Here is a 17764-nt window from a genome sequence, read left to right as displayed (position 1 = left end):
CTGGAATTAAAATACTAATCTCCAGCCTCATGGTCTTATGGTCTTCTTGTCACACCACGCTGGGAAGTTAAGCAGACATGGCTCGAACCAGGGCTTACAAATGCCCTCTTTCTCATCATCCCAACGGGAGACCTAGATTACTTGTCACTGTCTTCTCATTGTGATATTTTAGAAAGAGCTTGATATTTGGAGTTAGATCATTACAACTTAAACTGCCCCTAAACTTTAGATATCTCTCAATAGTTACAAAATTTTCTATTTAAGGGGAAGAAAGGGAGCATATTTTCTATCACAGTTGAACTCTAGTATGGGGCCTCAATGAAAAATAACCCATTCCATCTCTCCCCTAGTCCAAGTTCAGTTGAACAAGATGGTTTCCAAGTTTTCCAGGAAATTCAATAATATAGTAATTCAGCAGTGACTTTTGAAATGCCATCAAGCAAGCAGAAAGGACCCTTTAAAAATGTGAAGACCCCAGGGCCATCTTTCCCTGCCTATGTTCCCCACTCCTTGCTCTACTACATCTTTTCCAACCCTGTCTTAGCTTTAAAAAAATTAATGGCATTCATTGTTTATAAATGCCTCTGTTGATCTTTCCTATTTCGGTTCCTGACTACTAGTGGAAAAACTCTTTCTACTTCCCCCGCCCCTCACCCGCACTTGGCTTTAAAAATAGCAAATAGAGTTAGGTTGGCTGAGGGCCTTGTGGTTGGAGTCCACAGCCTTTGCCCTCTGGGTCACTGGTTCACATCCTAATACCATGGCTGGTAGGCTTTTCTTCTCTTTTGTGTGTTTTGCTTAAAGTTTTAGGAGGAGGTATCCTCCTGGATGATCATTTTCTCACGACCATCTGGGAAACATCTGGACTTGCCATCCCTGATCCCGGTATTAATAATATCTGCTATGCTGTCTTCTTCTCCTCTTTTCTGAAGTCTGCAGTGTTCACAATTTCATGTGCTTGCTTCAGAATTGCTCTTCTAGCTCAAGGCTGAAGAATTTGTATTGATCCTCAGGTCTCCAAAGAATGGACTGGCCAATTCATGCTCAACCCCTTTTCCCTATTTCCAGACTCCTTTCCTAGGAATTTGATATACGGTTAATATCAACCTGCTTTTCACACATAAAGATAGCTTTAATAATAGTGAACAGGTTTTAAGTCTTATAGTCCACAAAATGCTTTCACATGTATTACTGTAGTTGTCAGTAAATTCTATGATGTAGGTATTGTTATTTCTGCTCTCATTTTAAAGACACTTAGATTGAGAGAAGGTAAATCAGTTGTCCAAGACCACTTGATCCACCAACCCTCTGACTCCTTGGCATGATCCTGCCTCTCTCCTGTCTCTTGCAGGTCTATATTTTGAGTTTGTTTGTTTGTGATGATCCATTTGCTGATGATCACCTGTGGCACTGTTGATGACTGTTAGGGGCACTGAACAAAGTTTTACTTTCTATGAATCCAATGAGACAAAGTTTTTACTTAACCTTTGTTAGTTACCGGAGGTTTGAGCAAGTCAAACTAGGCAGCATGATCGTAATTCTTCGGGCAATGAGGTAGTGCAAATATTCTTGAGAAAAGCAGTAATGTGACGTCAGTTTGTTTCCAGAAGAGATATGTCAGCAGTATATTAAGTGGATGAGGAGATATAGACAGAGGGAAATAACATAATTTAGGAAGTTCTTGAAAGAGTTTGTATGAAATGTACTAAAGCTTGAATCAGGGTGGGAGCTGTGGGGAAGATAAGTGGGTGCCAATGAGAGAAAAGCCACAGAAGTAGCACTGACACTGTGGTCATGGAAGGGATTTATCAATAAAGGGGCCAGGTAGCTGAGGATGAGGTGCCATCTGCCCTCAGAGGAGAGAGAACATCAGTGAAGTGGCAAGTTTTACTGAGGGAGGAGATGCTTTGTCTCACTGTGGATGTATTTAAGCATTTTGGCACCAAGAAGGCATCTGGGCAGCAAACTTCTGGCAGTTGATGTAAGAGACTAGACCTCCAGACAGCAGGGAGGCCCACAGCAGCTTCGCATGGTCCCTATACAGCAGGGAGCAAGGCATTAAGACAGGGAAGAAGCAAAGTGCCTTGAAAGTTACTAATAACTGAGCACGACTGCATTTGGGTACTGGCTCATTTAAACTTGACAACACACCTATTAGATAGGTGTCTTTTTTCTATTTTTTAAAATAAGAAAATAGATACTCAGAAGGAATTCCTTGAAATCTCCGTACAAACAGAAATATTAGGATAACATCAGGCAAAGTGATATAGTTCTTTCAGGTCAACAGAGTCAGGCTCGTTCATCGTCCTTCATCAGTTTGAATTATATGTGATTCTTGGCACTTCTCTTTATGACATTATAAATGAAGGGATGGTGTCTGGATCTTAGATTGCAAAGGATCTGGTACAGGCTGAAGTGGATATGAACCCTTTAAACCACAGTCTTGCTATGACAACAGAAACATACTTCCCTGACTGGAGGCAGGAGTGTGTGTGTGTGTGTGCGCACGTGTGTGTATGTGATGCACATACATGTACATGTGTATGTATGGGCCTTCCTATGTTTATTTATTATAATGTTGTTGAGGCAGGGGCTGCAGGGTTGCCATATGCTTCTGCATTTTCTTCCCAAGCTATGCTTAACATGTGATAGAATGATACTTGCTTTGTTTCTGTGGTTGAACAATCAGATAGTGTTTGATAAGCTATGGAGAAAACACTTTAACAGGATTTAACCATATATTTCTCTTCCCTCTATCCTTAATAAGTGGGTCACAATGTAGACACACACACACACACACACACACACACCTGCCTGTTTCACTGAGTCCCAGACATTTACAAAGGACGGCCCTATTTTATACTACCGGCCCAGTTCTGTCATTTTATGATGTGGTATCCACTGTGGCTGCACAACAAAGAGGACCATTCTAAAGTAGGTCAGTGGAGCATTCCCTGTTATGGCAGCTGAATGATAGTGCAGGATGACATTTTCCAACTGGTCTCCATCTTCTTTGTGTTTATAGCTGCAGATGTCCTATTCCTGTGGATTCCTAGCCTTTACACACAGAAGTAAGAATGAGTCAAAAGGCAGGCAGCCTCTCAACTTTGTCTGTCATGGCTTGGTCTGAACCTTAGGCAGGAAGGCAGGAATCAGCAATATCACAGGCAGGAAAAGGCTTTGCAGCTTCAAGTAAAGAAAACTCTTAAGTGCATCCAGGATTCATTGCTGTGTCTACTTTCTGTCCACCTCAAACTTCACCAAAACTCCACCTCAGATAATTTCTCCTCCTGTCCTTCTGACCTGGGCAATATTTCTATTTCTTCCTGGATGGAACAGGGATAAAATATATGAAACACAACTTGTCTCAGAAGAACGTGAAAATATGTATTCAGAATATATGTGCTGTGATATTACTAAATAGTGTCAATTTGGTGAACTCTAGGGAATGACTAAAAATATAACAAAAGACCACCTTAAATGATCAGACACTCTCCCCTTTCTGGTCTATTATTTAGTCACTGAAAATATGTTTCTGTGGGTCACTTCTTTCTGCTAAGGTATGATCTGAAAAGGCTCCTACAATACAAGTCTCTTTTTAGGGGCAGGAAAAACATTACTTTCCTGAAAGATCATCTCTACACAGTGGTTCAAGAAATCACCAAAGCACTTGCAAACATCATGAGCTGTAATTTGAGAGAGACAGCCTCTTTCCTTTGGCTGACTTAAAAAATATTCCCCCCTCCCTGAATTTGATCATATAAGACTTCAGTCAATTACTATTAATAGTAAAATAAACAGTTTACAGGAAGGAAGTTCTGTATTTTTTTTTCTTACACTGATAAGATACAAGCAGTGTCTGACAACTTGGCAAATTTTTATTTTCTGGAAAGTTGTATGCATATGAAGATGTTCTCTTGCCACTTGGTCCCTTTCTCATTCTTAATAGTCATGAGATGTTTAAGGATGGAGTGGAGAGGGGAGATAGTATCCATGTCTTTCTAAGATTAGCATATATGTGTGTCTGGAATTGGTGGGTTCTTGGTCTCACTGACTTCAAGAATGAAGCCTCGGACCCTCGCGGTGAGTGTTACAGTTCTTAATGGTGGCGTGTCCGGAGTTTGTTCCTTCTGATGTTCGGATGTGTTCGGAGTTTCTTCCTTCTGGTGGGTTCGTGGTCTCGCTGGCTCAGGAGTGAAGCTGCAGACGTTCGTGGTGAGTGTTACAGCTCTTAAGGCGACGCGTCTGGAGTTGTTCCTTCCTCCCGGTGGGCTCGTGGTCTTGCTGGCTTCAAGAGAGAAGCTGCAGACCTTTGCAGTGAGTGTTACAGCTCATAAGGGCAGTGTGGACCCAAAGAGTTAGCTGTAGCAAGATTTATTGCAAAGAGCGAAAGAACAAAGCTTCCACAGCGTGGAAGAGGATCCGAGCGGGTTGCTACTGCTGGCTAGGGCAGCCTGCTTTTATTCTCTTATTTGGCCCCACCCACATCCTGCTGATTGGTAGAGCCCAGAGGGTCTGTTTTGACAGGGCGCTGATTGGTGTGTTTACAATCCCTGAGCTAGACACAAAGGTTCTCCACGTCCCCACCAGATTAGCTAGATAAAGAGTGTGGACACAAAGGTTCTCCAAGTCCCCACCAGAGTAGCTAGATACAGAGTGTCAATTGGTGCATTCACAAACCCTGAGCTAGACACAGGATGCTGATTGGTGTGTTTACAAACCTTGAGCTAGATGCAGAGTGCCGATCGGTGTGTTTACAATCCCCTAGCCAGACATAAAGGTTCTCCACGTCCCCACCAGACTCAGGAGCCCAGCTGGCTTCACCCAGTGGATCCCGCACCGGGGCTGCAGGTGGAGCTGCCTGCCAGTCCCGCGCCCTGCGCCAGCACTCCTCAGCCCTTGGGTGGTCGATGGGATTGGGCGCCGTGGAGCAGGGGGCGGCGCTCGTCAGGGAGGCTCCAGCCGCACAGGAACCCACGGAGGGGGTGGGAGGCTCAGGCATGGCGGGCTGCAGGTCCCCAGCCCTGCCCCGCGGGAAGGCAGCTAAGGCCCCGCGAGAAATTGAGCACAGCAGCTGCTGGCCCAGGTGCTAAGACCCTCACTGCCCGGGGCCGGTGGGGCCGGCCGGCCTCTCCGAGGGCGGGGTCTGCCAAGCCCACGCCCACCCGGAACTCACGCTGGCCCGCAAGCACCGCGCGCAGCCCCGGTTCCCGCCCACGCCTCTCCCTCCACACCTCGCCGCAAGCTGAGGGAGCTGGCTCCGGCCTTGGCCAGCCCAGAATGGGGCCCCCACAGTGCAGCGGCGGGCTGAAGGGCTCCTCAAGTGCCGCCAAAGTAGGAGCCCAGGCAGAGGAGGCGCCGGGAGCGAGCAAGGGCTGTGAGGACTGCCAGCACGCTGTCACCTCTCATATGCATAGTAAGAAAAACAGATTTAGAGAAATATGTGGTAGTACGATGACCAAAGTCATTGAGATAAACTAGACTCCAACAGTTCCTTTGGCTTCCCAACTTCCACAAACTGGTACCCAAAATGGGGTTCAGATATCCTCCCATTAGCAATTTGGCTTTAGGACATTCCGGTCTGATCACCTGGATAGGGGTCTGGGTGGGATGGCCTTGGAAGGCCAGGGAGAGCACCAGAAGGCTTGTTGAGCCCACCTTGCCCACCTACAACTGAAGAGTCAGTCATGGAAGGAGGCCCCACAGGCCTTCGGCTTATAGTGGCAGGGGCTCCTCCTTTCTGCCACTTTCTAGGTAATGTCTATTCCCCTTTCCTTTGCTACTTCCCAGTCTCTCACTTGAATTTATGATGATGTCAGACTTGGCGTTCCCAGATATCAGTATAGGGCCCCTCACACAGTTGGTGCTTAGTCCATGTGTGATGGATAAATGATTATTTGAGTTATCTGCAATTCTACCTTCTTAATTCTTGGTATTTTGCCTTATGTATCATAAAAATGATCATAACCATATTTCTAATGATAATATTTCTTGCTGGTTGAACACTCATTCACTCACTTAACAAATTCATATTGGCCAACTATTAAATAGGTCCCGGGCTTAGTGCTAAGGACACTCCAGAGAACACAGAGAACACAGCACACCATGGTGTCTGCCCTCTGGAATTTATGTTGTCACATTTGCGATGTGCCAGTCTATGTGACTGCATTACACAACCTGTCTCCTTTACCCCTTTAGACAATGCCATAAGGAAAGACATGCCTTGAAAGGTTATACTATATTAAACAAAAGGCAATTATAAATAGCATCTGCTTGTGGTTGGCAATAAAATACAAGAGAATCAGATAGTATGATAAAGGAATCAAAAGAAGAAATTTTAAAAATATGCTGAAATGATGTGTGGGGTATAGGGAAGCAAAAAATAAAATCTCACAATCCAAATCCTTCTTAGAGGCAGTGAAGGACAGACCTGATACTGCAGCTGATTTAATTGCTAACATAAAGCAGCAGTGCCCAGGTCTTTAGGTTTTATAGACTAATATAAAAGGCAAGAATGTGCTAGTAACTTCAGTGAGAGCAAAGCAGACAGGGAAACAATGCTAAAGAGTGGATCTGAGTAAAGCCAGCAGAAAGCCCTGAGTTAATCTCTGCTCACCAATCTGCCCCCACCTGCAAGAGACTCATTAGCTAAACAAGTGGGATCCATCACAATTTGCTCCCTTATGTATTTGCTACTCACGTTTTCTTCTTGATAAAATATTACTGAAAATAAACTTTGAACAACTGAGAAACAAAACAAAGAGCTTAAGAAAAGGGAAGTTAAGTACAGCTAGAAGAGAAGATTTGAAATATTCCCAACACAAAGAAATGATGAATGTTTGAAGTGATGGATAACTTAAATATCCTGATTTGATCATTAAACACTGTATGCATGTATCAAAATAACACATGTAACTCATAAATAGGTACAATTATTATGTATCAATGAAAAGGAAAGAAAAGAAGAAAAAGAATTGGGAAGTTATATAGTAATAGAATAGAATGGTGGTGAATATTGAAACTGGTTAAAGCTAGAAATATCTAACAAGATGTATAAATCTTGTTATAAAATTTGTATATATCTTAAGATTTATTCTCAATCAAAAGTATGAATTATAAAACACTGAAATAACAATAAAAATCTGAATTGATTTTTAAAATCTGGATTAATCTGCAAAAACAGGAAGGAGAAATACTGTTGCTAGGGAGGTGGGAGTTGAGATGAAAAGTTTGGTAAATTTATCTGAAATCATAGGGGAACAAAATACCATATTTATTTTTACTTTTTAATAATTTGAGAAATGTAGAATAAAGAATGTTTTTTGAAACTCTCAGAGGTAATTATTAGTAGAAGAACATATTATATATCTGCCGAAAGATGAGAAGCTATTAAAAAGAAAGAACACAGAAACCACATGTGAAACACAGTACACACACACAAAATGGAAGGAAACACAAGCTAGAAAGCATGTAAATCATAAGACAGAAGGAAAGCCAAATATTTCACTCATGGCAAGAAATGCAAATCCTCTTCTGTTTGAGAATAAAAATTCAGGTTGGGCAAAAAAGAAATCTAAAAACAAATTCTGTTTATTTTCAAAAGAAGCACTTACAGAACATGACAAAAAAGGCTGAGTGTAAATGTAGATAAAGGCCTATCAAACAAACATGAAAAAAACTAAGGTGGAAATCTTATTATTAAAGTAGAATTAATGACAGAAGCTTTAAATGGGATGAGATGCCACTGACCGGGTGCAGTGGCTCACACCTGTAATCCCGGGACTTTGGGAGGCCGAGGTAGGTGGATCACCCGAATTTGGGAGTTTGAAACCAGCCTGGCCAACATGGTGAAACCCATCTCTACTAAAAATATAAAAGTTAGCCAGGCATGGTGGCGGGCACCTGTAATCCCAGCTGCTCGGGAGGCTGAGGCAGGAGAATCGCTTGAACCTGGAAGGTGGAGGTTGCAGTGAGCCAAGATTGTGCCACTGCACTCCAGCCTGGGTGACAGAGCGAGACTCTGGATAGGATGCCATTTTATTTGGGTATGGATATAATTCACAGTGAAGATATCCTTATTATGACCTTTGTGCACCAAGTGTCTTTGCATTAAAATATGCAACACAAAGGAGAAATCAAGAGAAAGATGACAGATGAGGGAAGAGGGTATCTGTGTCAGGCTGCCTTTTGGGCAGGCTGGAGCCTTGATATACTTGGGAGTGACTTTTAGAAAAATCAGAAAATGTTTCCATGTTGTTCTTCTATTTTTGCTTAAGTTTGCTTCTATTTCTGTTGTTTTTATTTGAAGGCAAACTATTTTTTTTCCCATTTACTAATGACTGTTTTAAAAATAATCACTGTGTGCCAGGTGTATGCTGTGTAGCTTCAGTGGGAATAGGCACATAAATTAGAGCTGGCTGTGTCTTCAAGGAGCTTACCAAAGTCTACACTGTAAATAACATGGAAATTCAGAGAAAATAAGTGATCACCATAGAACTGCAGAAAGCATTTTAGTTGGGTCTTGATAGATGTAGGACTGGATTGATAGAAAGATAGAGTAGGAAGGAAGGGCATTCAGATGTTCCAGTAGGAAGAGCCAAATGGCTAAAAATGGGCCCAGAAAATACTATTAGGACATTCCATGGAGAAGTGAATACTTGTGGGAGAGCAGTGGGAAATATGGGAACAAGAGCAGGCCTCCTCACTTCCTCTTGTCCTGTCTTCTCTTTTGATGGCAGCTCAAGGATTTTTTAAGATGACACGCAATGCTCCAGAGCACAACAGTATCCCCTAAAGAGTGTCACTTCCATTTCTGTTTGAGACTCTAGGATACGTCCTCCTTGAAGTCTACCAGCATCAATTTTTGCTCAATCTTTGCTGGAAGGATTGTGGGTTACTGTTTCATTTAAGTAATTTTCAATGAGAGATTTCTTAAAATACACAGTACTTGGCAGCAGGCATAAAATTTCAGAAAAATAATAGCAGACACTAACTTAAAAGTATGTTGTGCTTTTTTTAGTTGAAAGGTGCTGTGTACAAGCCACATGTTCATGTGTGTCATTTATAATTAATAATCTCTGTGAGAACACTGGATGGACCTTATATTGAAGTCTTAACAACTCTTTAATGAATCTGCCCTTGCGAGTGTTAGAAATTCTCTCTGAATTATGTATATTAAGGAGATACACGCCAAATTGTGTTCAATAGCAGCCAAATGGAATTACGGAAAAGTAGCTGTTGATAGAGAACTCCTTAGTTACAATCCATTCGTCCCACTGCCTCTGTTCTCCACTGAGAACACCTGGGTTGTTTTCAGGATGGCAGGACTTCAAAATGCTAATGTGTGCTGTGAATATCCAAAGGGGGTAGGCTAGACAGCATTTTCCAAGCACATAGTTTATCCCCTCCTCTAATCCACAGAGCCTACATCTTCTTTCTTAATTTTTTTTTAAGAGATGAAGTCTCACTCCGTTGCCCAGGCTGGAGTGCAGTGGTGTGATCATAGCTCATCGTAGCCTCGAACTCCTGGGCTCAAGTGATCCTTCTGCCTTAGCCTCCTGAATAGCTGAGACTACAGGTGTGTGCTACTATGCCTGGCTAACTTTATTCTATTTAATTTTACTCATTTTATTTTTTTTTTAGAGACTGGGTCGGGAGTGGGGGGGGGGGTTCACTGTTTTGCCCAGGCTGGTCTTAAGCTCCTAGCCTCAAGCTATCCTCTTACCTTACCCTTCCCAGTAGCTGAGATTACAGGTGCAAGCTACTGTGCCAGTGGAGCTTACTTCTGAAACTGCTTTAAGAAACTCCTCTTTTTAGTGTTTTGAACTCTGCCTCACAGTATCATCTGTCATTTTGCACTTGGGACTCCAAGTGAGTTTAAACGTTCTTCCAGATGAGATCTTTTCAACTATTTGAAGATAACAGTTTTCAAAGTCTTTTCCAGGCCAAACATTGCCACCTCCTGCAAACATTCCTTATCTGCTGGGTCACCATCTCCTTAGCATGACTATGTTCCAGCTTTACTTATTTTCACTTAAAATTCCGTGACCAGGCTGGGTGCGGTGGCTCATGCCTGTAATTCAAGCACTGTGGGAGGCCGAGGTGGGCAGATCACTTGAGGTCAGGAGTTCAAGACCAGCCTGGCCAACATGCGAAACCCCGTCTCTACTAAAAATACAAAAATTAGCCAGGGACAGTGGCACCTGCCTGTAATCCCAGCTACTTGGGAGGCTGAGGCAGGAGAATTGCTTGAACCCAGGAGACGGAGGTTGCAGTGAGCTGAGATTGCACCATTGCACTCCAGCCTGGGCGACAGAGCAAGACTCCATCTCAAATAAATAAATAAAGTTAAATAAAGTAAAATAAAATAAAGTAAAATAAAGTAAAATAAAATAAAATAAAATAAAATAAAATTCTGTGACCATAATTAGTAGGATTCTTTCAAGTGGGCCGAATGTGCAAAGAAGAGAAAGGAACTATTTGCATCTGTTGGACCAGACATTACACTGCATTTTTTGTCCTGTAGTAGTAAAGTAGCAGCAAAGTTCTGGACACCAGAGATTAATAATTGCACTGGGCAAACTACTGAGTTCTGGGTGCTGCATTTTAAAATGGAAACACACTATGGCCCAAAGGAGAGGATCTATGTGAAACATTAAAAATAAAAGTTTTAGAGAGCATTTGTATTTTATTATTTACAAGCTGTACACCTCCTAAAACAACTTCAATTAAATGATGGACAGAACCTCAGAGATTCAATTTCATTCTAAGAATGCCCAGAGTTGACATTTACTTTTTAATATTCCCCTTGATCTTTGGCCTTTCTTGCCAAGAGACAACTTCACTGATGAGCAAACATTGCTTTGTCTTTTTAGTTCAATGTCTTTGTGTGTGTGTGTGTGTGTGTGTGTGTGTGTGTGTGGTGTGTATACATATATATAGTTTTTCCATTCAAGGTTTGATTAATGGCTTATGGCTTTGTTGAGCAATGGGATGAGGTCAGAATAGGTCAGAAAACAACCTAATGGTCAAACAACAGCCCAGCAGGAAGGTCTGGGACTCAGTGTAATGTAGTATTTTCTCATGATATATTATTCATTATAATGGCAATATAATGTTTTAGGTACAGCAATTGCAAGGTTCATCTGCATTTTAAATTTGTTCCTAGTGGGGAGTGTTTTATACTTCATCTTGTAGCATTAAAGTATGTTCACAGATATAGTGTACCCTTGTCTTGATCTTATTTACCATTCTAGTGCTGTGAGTGTTGGCAGCCAATGACTCACAGATGCCCCCCTTTTTTTTCCAGGGAGCTGTCCTTGGCCAAGAGGGATGCTCCTTGCCTGGAATGCTGCACTCTCACTACTTCCTGGGGGCAGACATAGCCAATGACTGAGGGACAGAAATGTACAAAGGCTAGTCCTTTGTCTGAAGGTAGGACCACTCGGTGGAATCAGTCGGAAGCAGATTCCAGCTGAGACCACACCCTTGCTTAGCTACTTAGCCTGCCTCTCCTGCTTCTTTGACTCTCCTTCTGCTGAGGGCACTCCCCACAACAAATCCCTTTCATAAGACACCCCATCTCAGGCCCTACTTCTAGGGATGCTTTCCTAAGACATTGTCATTATTATTTCCCCCAATGGATGCCGTTATGGAAGTGAATGATTCTTTGTGTAGCAACTGTATGAAGAAACTTGAAATTTTAGGCAATGAAATACATTTTTCGAAATATCTGTTTAGGAAATACGACTCCATTTAATATGCTGTGTCTTCTAAGTGAATTTCAATTAAAAACATTTAGTTAATTTAAAAATAGTTTTTGAAACAAGATATCTGGCAATAAACAGAATGGAGTCCCTTAGAAACATCTCCTTATTTGATGAAGTAGACTCATGCATTGAGTTAGTTATATTAATAGTACATGTTGACTTGTTGAAGTCTTTGAAATTTCAGTGAGATGCAGATTATCACACAGATTTAATGCTTTCCTGAAATGAGTCATTGTAGACAGTTAATTCAATGTAAGATAGAATGCCATAAATGGAATACATTTAGGTGATACACAGTGAAGCTGAGTTCTCCCACCCCTAACTGATTGTCAAGGCCTAAGAGTGGATCTGCTTGGTGGAGGAAGTATGTTCCTCTAGCCAAGTACAAGAGACAGCTCAGAAGTCTCTTAGACTAAGACTCAGTATGGAGTCCTGGTGACTCAAAGGCAGGGGCATTCAGCATTGAAGCTGACAGACACACCTAACTGCCTATTTCTCTCATGTCTCCATGAAGAGCTGGGTTGAGCATCTTTGGCTTGCTTAGGTGACCAAAGTTTCTGGGAAGGGATAGCTTAAGAGATGATCATAAAGGGTAGCAGTGTGTTGAAGGCAAGGTTAGGTTAGCTGGAGGGCATGCCACGGTGCCTGCTTAACACAACAGGTCTGAGAGCCTGGTAAGTAGCAGTTTCAGGCATCAAGTCCAAGGGCAAGGGCCTAGCTGGCAATAAGAAGCTAAGAAAATTAGAAATGGATGGGCACTGGATGAGACTGGGGTCCTGGTCTACTTTTATTGATCAGGGATCTTATGGCAAGGGTGTGGCCTTTCCATCTTCAAGGCACAGGTGTTGGGAAGGCGCAAATGTGAGTCCTTGTAAACTGAACTGTGAGTGTACACGGAGGGTGTCAGGTTCATTTTATTTTTAAAGAAGTATCTGTCAGCTGGAAAGTGCACAGATGAGGTTTGATTCTTCTTGGCTATCATTATACAGCCTTTGGTTCCCAGTAGAAAGGAAAAAACAAACAGCTTTAATATCTTTTCTGGGATGTCATTCTAAGGGGATAATAGCAGGTAGTCTTTCCCTAAAATCTAGAATATGAGGATAACGTGTGGCTTGAAGGAAAGAAATCTTTAGGTAATCTATATGGAGACAGAATGCTATGTCTGAAGGGTCAAGAAAGCGAGAGAGGCAGATCAATTGTGCTCCATTATCAGATAATTAAAATACCCTATTTATTGTTTTAGGAAGTTAGAGCATACACCAGCCCCTACTTCATCTCCATTTCTTTTCCTCTTCTCACCTCCTTCCTCCCGCCTTTTCTTTCTCTCCCCTTCCCTTCTGCTCCATATCCCCTTTCTAAACCCCTTTGTTCTTTCCTGAAAGGAGCCTAATATTTGGTTTATTTTGTTTCTGTCCTTGAAAAGAGCAGTGAGACTCGTTGATTCTTTTTTTTCTTTCTTTATAAAGATAAAATGGCAGCTGCAATGTAAATTTATTTCTGACAAGAGAAAAGTGCAGTGCAACTCTCTTTAGCATAGGACATTTTTTTTAGTGATATTCAAAATAGAGTCTTTCAAAATTGTTGTTGTACTTGAGATGTACCTAGAATCCTCTTTAGGGTAATGACTATGACATTCCTCAGAGGTGAACTCATTTCTGTTACTCATTTTTAAAAACACATCCTCTGTCTTTTCACACTCATCACAATGAGATCTAAAATAGAGGCTCATCATCACCTATTTAAGGGTTATTTATGAATAACACTGCCTTGAAAAGGCCTGGTGGAAATGTGTGTGGAAATTGAAAGTGACACAGATTCAGAAGCCAGGCAGGCACAGAAACTAAGTTAGAGGCTGAAGTGTCTGAAGTATTGTTGAGCATGAGACGTGATGAGACCCTCCATCGCCCCCGGCCCAGCAACCCCAAGCTGACAGTCAGATGCTAGGCATTAAGTCCGTATGGAGATGTGAAGTAGAAGGGTGGGAGCGCCAAGACTTAGCAGACTCTACCAAACAAAAAAAGATCAGTAATCCAGAGAGCATCCTAAATGGTAGATTACATATTGAGCCCATTTTCCACCCCTCCCTGTATCCAAGCCCTTTGTCAGGTGGCTTGCAGTCCTTGCTACTAGAGACGGCAGGTGGGGGCTAGGGGGTTGCCCCTGTCTTGACTATGGATTTGGCCACATAACTTAATTCGGCTAACGAAATGCCAGTAGACTAAGTCACAGTGTGCCACCTCCGGCCCAAGGCCTTAAGAGGCTTTGCATGCTCCCAGTTGTCCTCGCCATGAGAAGTGCATGATGTGACTAGCCCACTGGTTCAAGGAGAGAGCAGGAGATAAGGAGTAGAGAGAAGATGCAATAACAAAGCTGAGTCTGGATCAGCCAAATCTCAGCTGATCTGAAGATGCCTGAGTGAGAGTAAAACATGGCCATTTTTAAAGAACTTCTAAACTTTTCAGCACTTTAAAACTACTTTTTAGGGTGGCTTTTAGGCAACTTTCTGGTGGAAATCTTTGACCGATACAAGCACTGTTCCTAAATGTGGCCATTTAAAAGAAGAAAATGAGTCATAGGGACTAGACCATGAGAACATGAGTACATAAAGGTTTTCTGAAAACAAGAACAAGCCTTGTGTGTGATTGTAAGAAGGGTTAATATTGCCCACCATTTTGAATATCCTACCCCTTAACTGAGCCTTGGCAAAGGGTAAGGAGAACTGCAGAACCCTGACTTCCAGGCCATATTGGATGTCACTGATATGACCATGCACATATGACAGACATCGGCTTTTTTTTGGGGAAGCAACAAGCATTCCAGGTCTCACTTGTTGCCCATATACAGTGACAGGCTGATGCAGGTGTTCAAAGACCCAGACCTCGAGCCTCAATGCAAGAACACGCTAAAGGGCTTTAGGGATCTACAGGGGATCAGCTGAAGTCCTGATTACAACTATATCACAACCCAACTTCTCCCACTACCCAGTGCTGCTTCCCTTACCTTCTCACAAATATTGTTCCCCAAAGCACTCCTGAATGATCTTCCCACATGTAAATCTCTGAGGCCTAGCATCTGTCCGTAGGTACCTGGACCCGTGGCACACCACTCTCACTCAGCTTTCCGGGGGTGCTGGGATCTGGAGAAAGGGGTGGGAGGCCTTACCCACTATCATGTGGTTGCAGACATCACAGAAAGTGGGCTTCTTGAAGATGTATTCCTGAAAGGCATGAGCCTTGCCACCTGGATGCAGACCAGCCCTGGCGGGTGTGGACGTCAGGCTTCCTGGAGCAGGGAGTGGGCTGGAGCTGGGGCTGATCTCAGCCACCATGTGTGCTTGCAGTTTCATGTCTTCGCTGTTGGTTCGCTGGAAGAAGTTGTCAGCACTTTTGCTCCGTAAACTCTTGGTCTTGAAAGAAAGTGATCGTTTTAGTTTCTGGAGCTGCAATGCAATGACAGAACAGTCTCTCTTACGATCAATGGATCAAGCAGACCTAGGCTGTGGGGGTAAGGTCTGCTGTGTGCACTACACAGTCCCCACTGACACCCTCCGTCTTGAGGAGGCTCATAAATGTCCCTGTGTGGGTGGGGTGATGGCAGTGCCTAGTAAAGAGGGAATTTCCCCCGCCCCTGCCACTAAGCCAGATGAGCAGAAAGAGGTCCTATTTTGCCTTTGATTCTGCCCCTGCTCCTCCTCCCCTGCCTCCTTAAAGTCCTACCAGTGTGCTGTAAAAGTGTCCCACCACATTGGATTTTGATATAATTTGCCTTTTGAATTTGAATCATTGGAAATATTAAGTATACAAACTCATGGGCTCAAAGGCTACATGTGTAAAGCTGGCCTTTCTCTCTTATGATCACTTAACAGCCACTTGTCTCTGCACACAGCAAAGCAGAAGAGTCTATTGTCTGGCTCAAAATCCATCTCGCTAAACTATCCACAGGACACAAACCAGGAACTCTCAAGTCTGCTTGGGTCTGAAGCATATGGATAAGTAACCTCTGTGTGTGTGTGTGTGTGTGTGTGTGTGTGTGTGTGTGTGTGTGTGTGTGTGTGTGTGTGTGTAGGACATAGGACATATTGTATTATCCTTTTGACTTTATCTGCTCTTCCTGCTGCCCTCCCTCTTGTTTTGGCCATGACAAACTAGACCATTTCTCCTTTGCCTCTGGGACTTATAAAAAAGCACCAAAACAGGTTTGGAAAAGCACAAGATTCTGGCAGGACTGGGTTTGAGTTTAATCTACCCCTCTATTCTGGCTCCAGGAACTGGAAGATTCTGGACTCTGATGACAGCTTGCACCATGGTGCACCTTGCTCTGTCCATCCCCACAGTGGCCTTTTAAAAGTCTCTCCTGTTTACTCTGCTTTCTCATCCCTAGTCCTTAGTACATAGTTTTTCTTTTCACCCAGCAACAAGTCACTTCACCTTTAAGGTGGTTTCTTTTTGTAATTGAATATCCATGGGAGTTCTTTCTTTTGCCTGGAATAAACATGTATGGCCCAGAGCTGCAGAAAAAAGATGCTCAGATATCAAACTAAAAAGCTTCTACACAGCAAAGGAAACTGGAAGAAGCTGTCAGCACTTTTGCTCCATAAACTCTTGGTCTTGAAAGAAAGTGATCGTTTTAGTTTCTAGAACTGCAATGCAATGATGGACCAGTCTCTCTTATGATCAATGGATCATGCAGATCCAGGCTGTGGGGGTGAGATCTGCTGTGTGCATGGCACTATCCCCACTGACACAGAGTGAAGAGACAACCTATAGAATGGGAAAAAGTATTTGCACAATATGCATCAGACAGGAGATTAATATCTAGAATATACAAGAAACTCAAGCATCTCAATGGCAAAAAAAACACAAACCTCCAAACAATCCAATTTAAAAATGAGAAAATGATCTGAACAGACATTTCTCAAAAGAAGACATACAAATGGCTGACAAATATATTTTAAAAGTTCAACATCACTAATCATCAGGGAAATGCAAATCAAAACCACAGTGAAGTATCATCTCACTCCAGTTACAATGGCTGTTATCAAAAAGACAAAAATAACAAATGCAGAGAAAAGGGAACTCATAGACATTTTGTTTGTGGGAATGTAAACTAGTGCAACCACTATGAAGAACAGTATGGGGGTTCCTCTAAAAGCTACAAATAGAACTACCATGTGATTCAGCAATCCCACTGCTGGGAATTTATCTAAAGGAAAGGGAATCATTATACTGAGGAGACATCTGCACCCCCATGTTAATTGTAGCACTATTCACAATAGCCAAGATATGGAGTCAATCTATGGGTCCAACAACACAATGAATGGATAAAGGAAATATGGTACATGTACATGATGAAATACTATTCAGCCATAAAAAAGAATGAAACTCTGTCATTTGTGGCAACATGGATGGGACAGGAGGACATTATGTTAAATAAAATAAGCCAGGAAAAGAAAGTTAAATGCTGCATGTTCTCACTCATATGTGGAAGCTAAAAAAAGTTGATCTCGTAGAAGTTAAAAGTAGAACAGAGGATACTAGAGACTGGCAAGCACAGGGAGAAGGGAGGATAGGGAGAGATTTTTTACTAAAAAATGACAGCTAGATAGGAAGAATAAGTTCTAGTGCTCTATAGCACTGTAGGATAACTATAGTTAACAACAATACATTATATAGTTTCAAATAGCTAGAAGGAGGATACTTTTGAATGTTCCCAACACAAAAAAATGATAAATGTTTGATGTTATGGATATGCTAATTACCCTGATGTGATCACTATACTTTACATGTGTTACAAAATCACTATGTACTCCATAAATAGGTACAATTATTTTATGTCAATTAAAAATAAAATCATAAAAGTAATTTAAAAAGAGAAAAAGAAACAAATGGTGCTCAGTACTCTTGTCTAATAAGGGTCTCCATAAGTGTGGTCAGACTCCCCCTACACAATATATCAGGCAAGTTTACATGGCCTTGCCAAGCCCAGCCACCTCTGTC

At 42.2% G+C, this 17764-nt stretch overlaps 1 protein-coding gene and 1 long non-coding RNA gene across 11 annotated transcripts in view; one reads left to right on the top strand and one right to left on the bottom strand.

Annotated features, from left to right (window-relative positions):
* The window catches only part of STAC (SH3 and cysteine rich domain), a 167504-nt gene that overhangs the window by 89437 nt on the left and 60303 nt on the right, over nt 1-17764 (bottom strand). For 7 of the 10 annotated variants that reach the window (XR_940496.3, XM_047448767.1, NM_003149.3 and 4 more), the window contains one exon: nt 14931-15207. Coding sequence is in view for 8 of the 10 variants with exons in the window: in XM_047448767.1 (XP_047304723.1) it covers nt 14931-15207 (277 nt within the window). In the remaining 2 variants the exon portion in view is untranslated. Of the gene's footprint in view, nt 1-14930; nt 15208-16366; nt 16542-17764 lie in introns of those variants that run through there. The other 3 variants (XM_017007083.2, XM_011534037.4, XM_047448771.1) reach the window with 3 other exon arrangements.
* Nucleotides 4194-17764, top strand: part of LOC124906227 (uncharacterized) — a 119636-nt gene continuing 106065 nt past the window's right edge. Inside the window, exons 1-2 of the long non-coding RNA XR_007095868.1 lie at nt 4194-4215; nt 11309-11433. This is a non-coding gene — a long non-coding RNA (uncharacterized LOC124906227). The remainder of the gene's footprint in view (nt 4216-11308; nt 11434-17764) is intronic.

The sequence above is a fragment of the Homo sapiens genome, chromosome 3 (assembly GCF_000001405.40).
Source record: "Homo sapiens chromosome 3, GRCh38.p14 Primary Assembly".
Taxonomy (NCBI): domain Eukaryota; kingdom Metazoa; phylum Chordata; class Mammalia; order Primates; family Hominidae; genus Homo; species Homo sapiens.
This window is presented reverse-complemented; position numbering and strand designations above follow the sequence as displayed.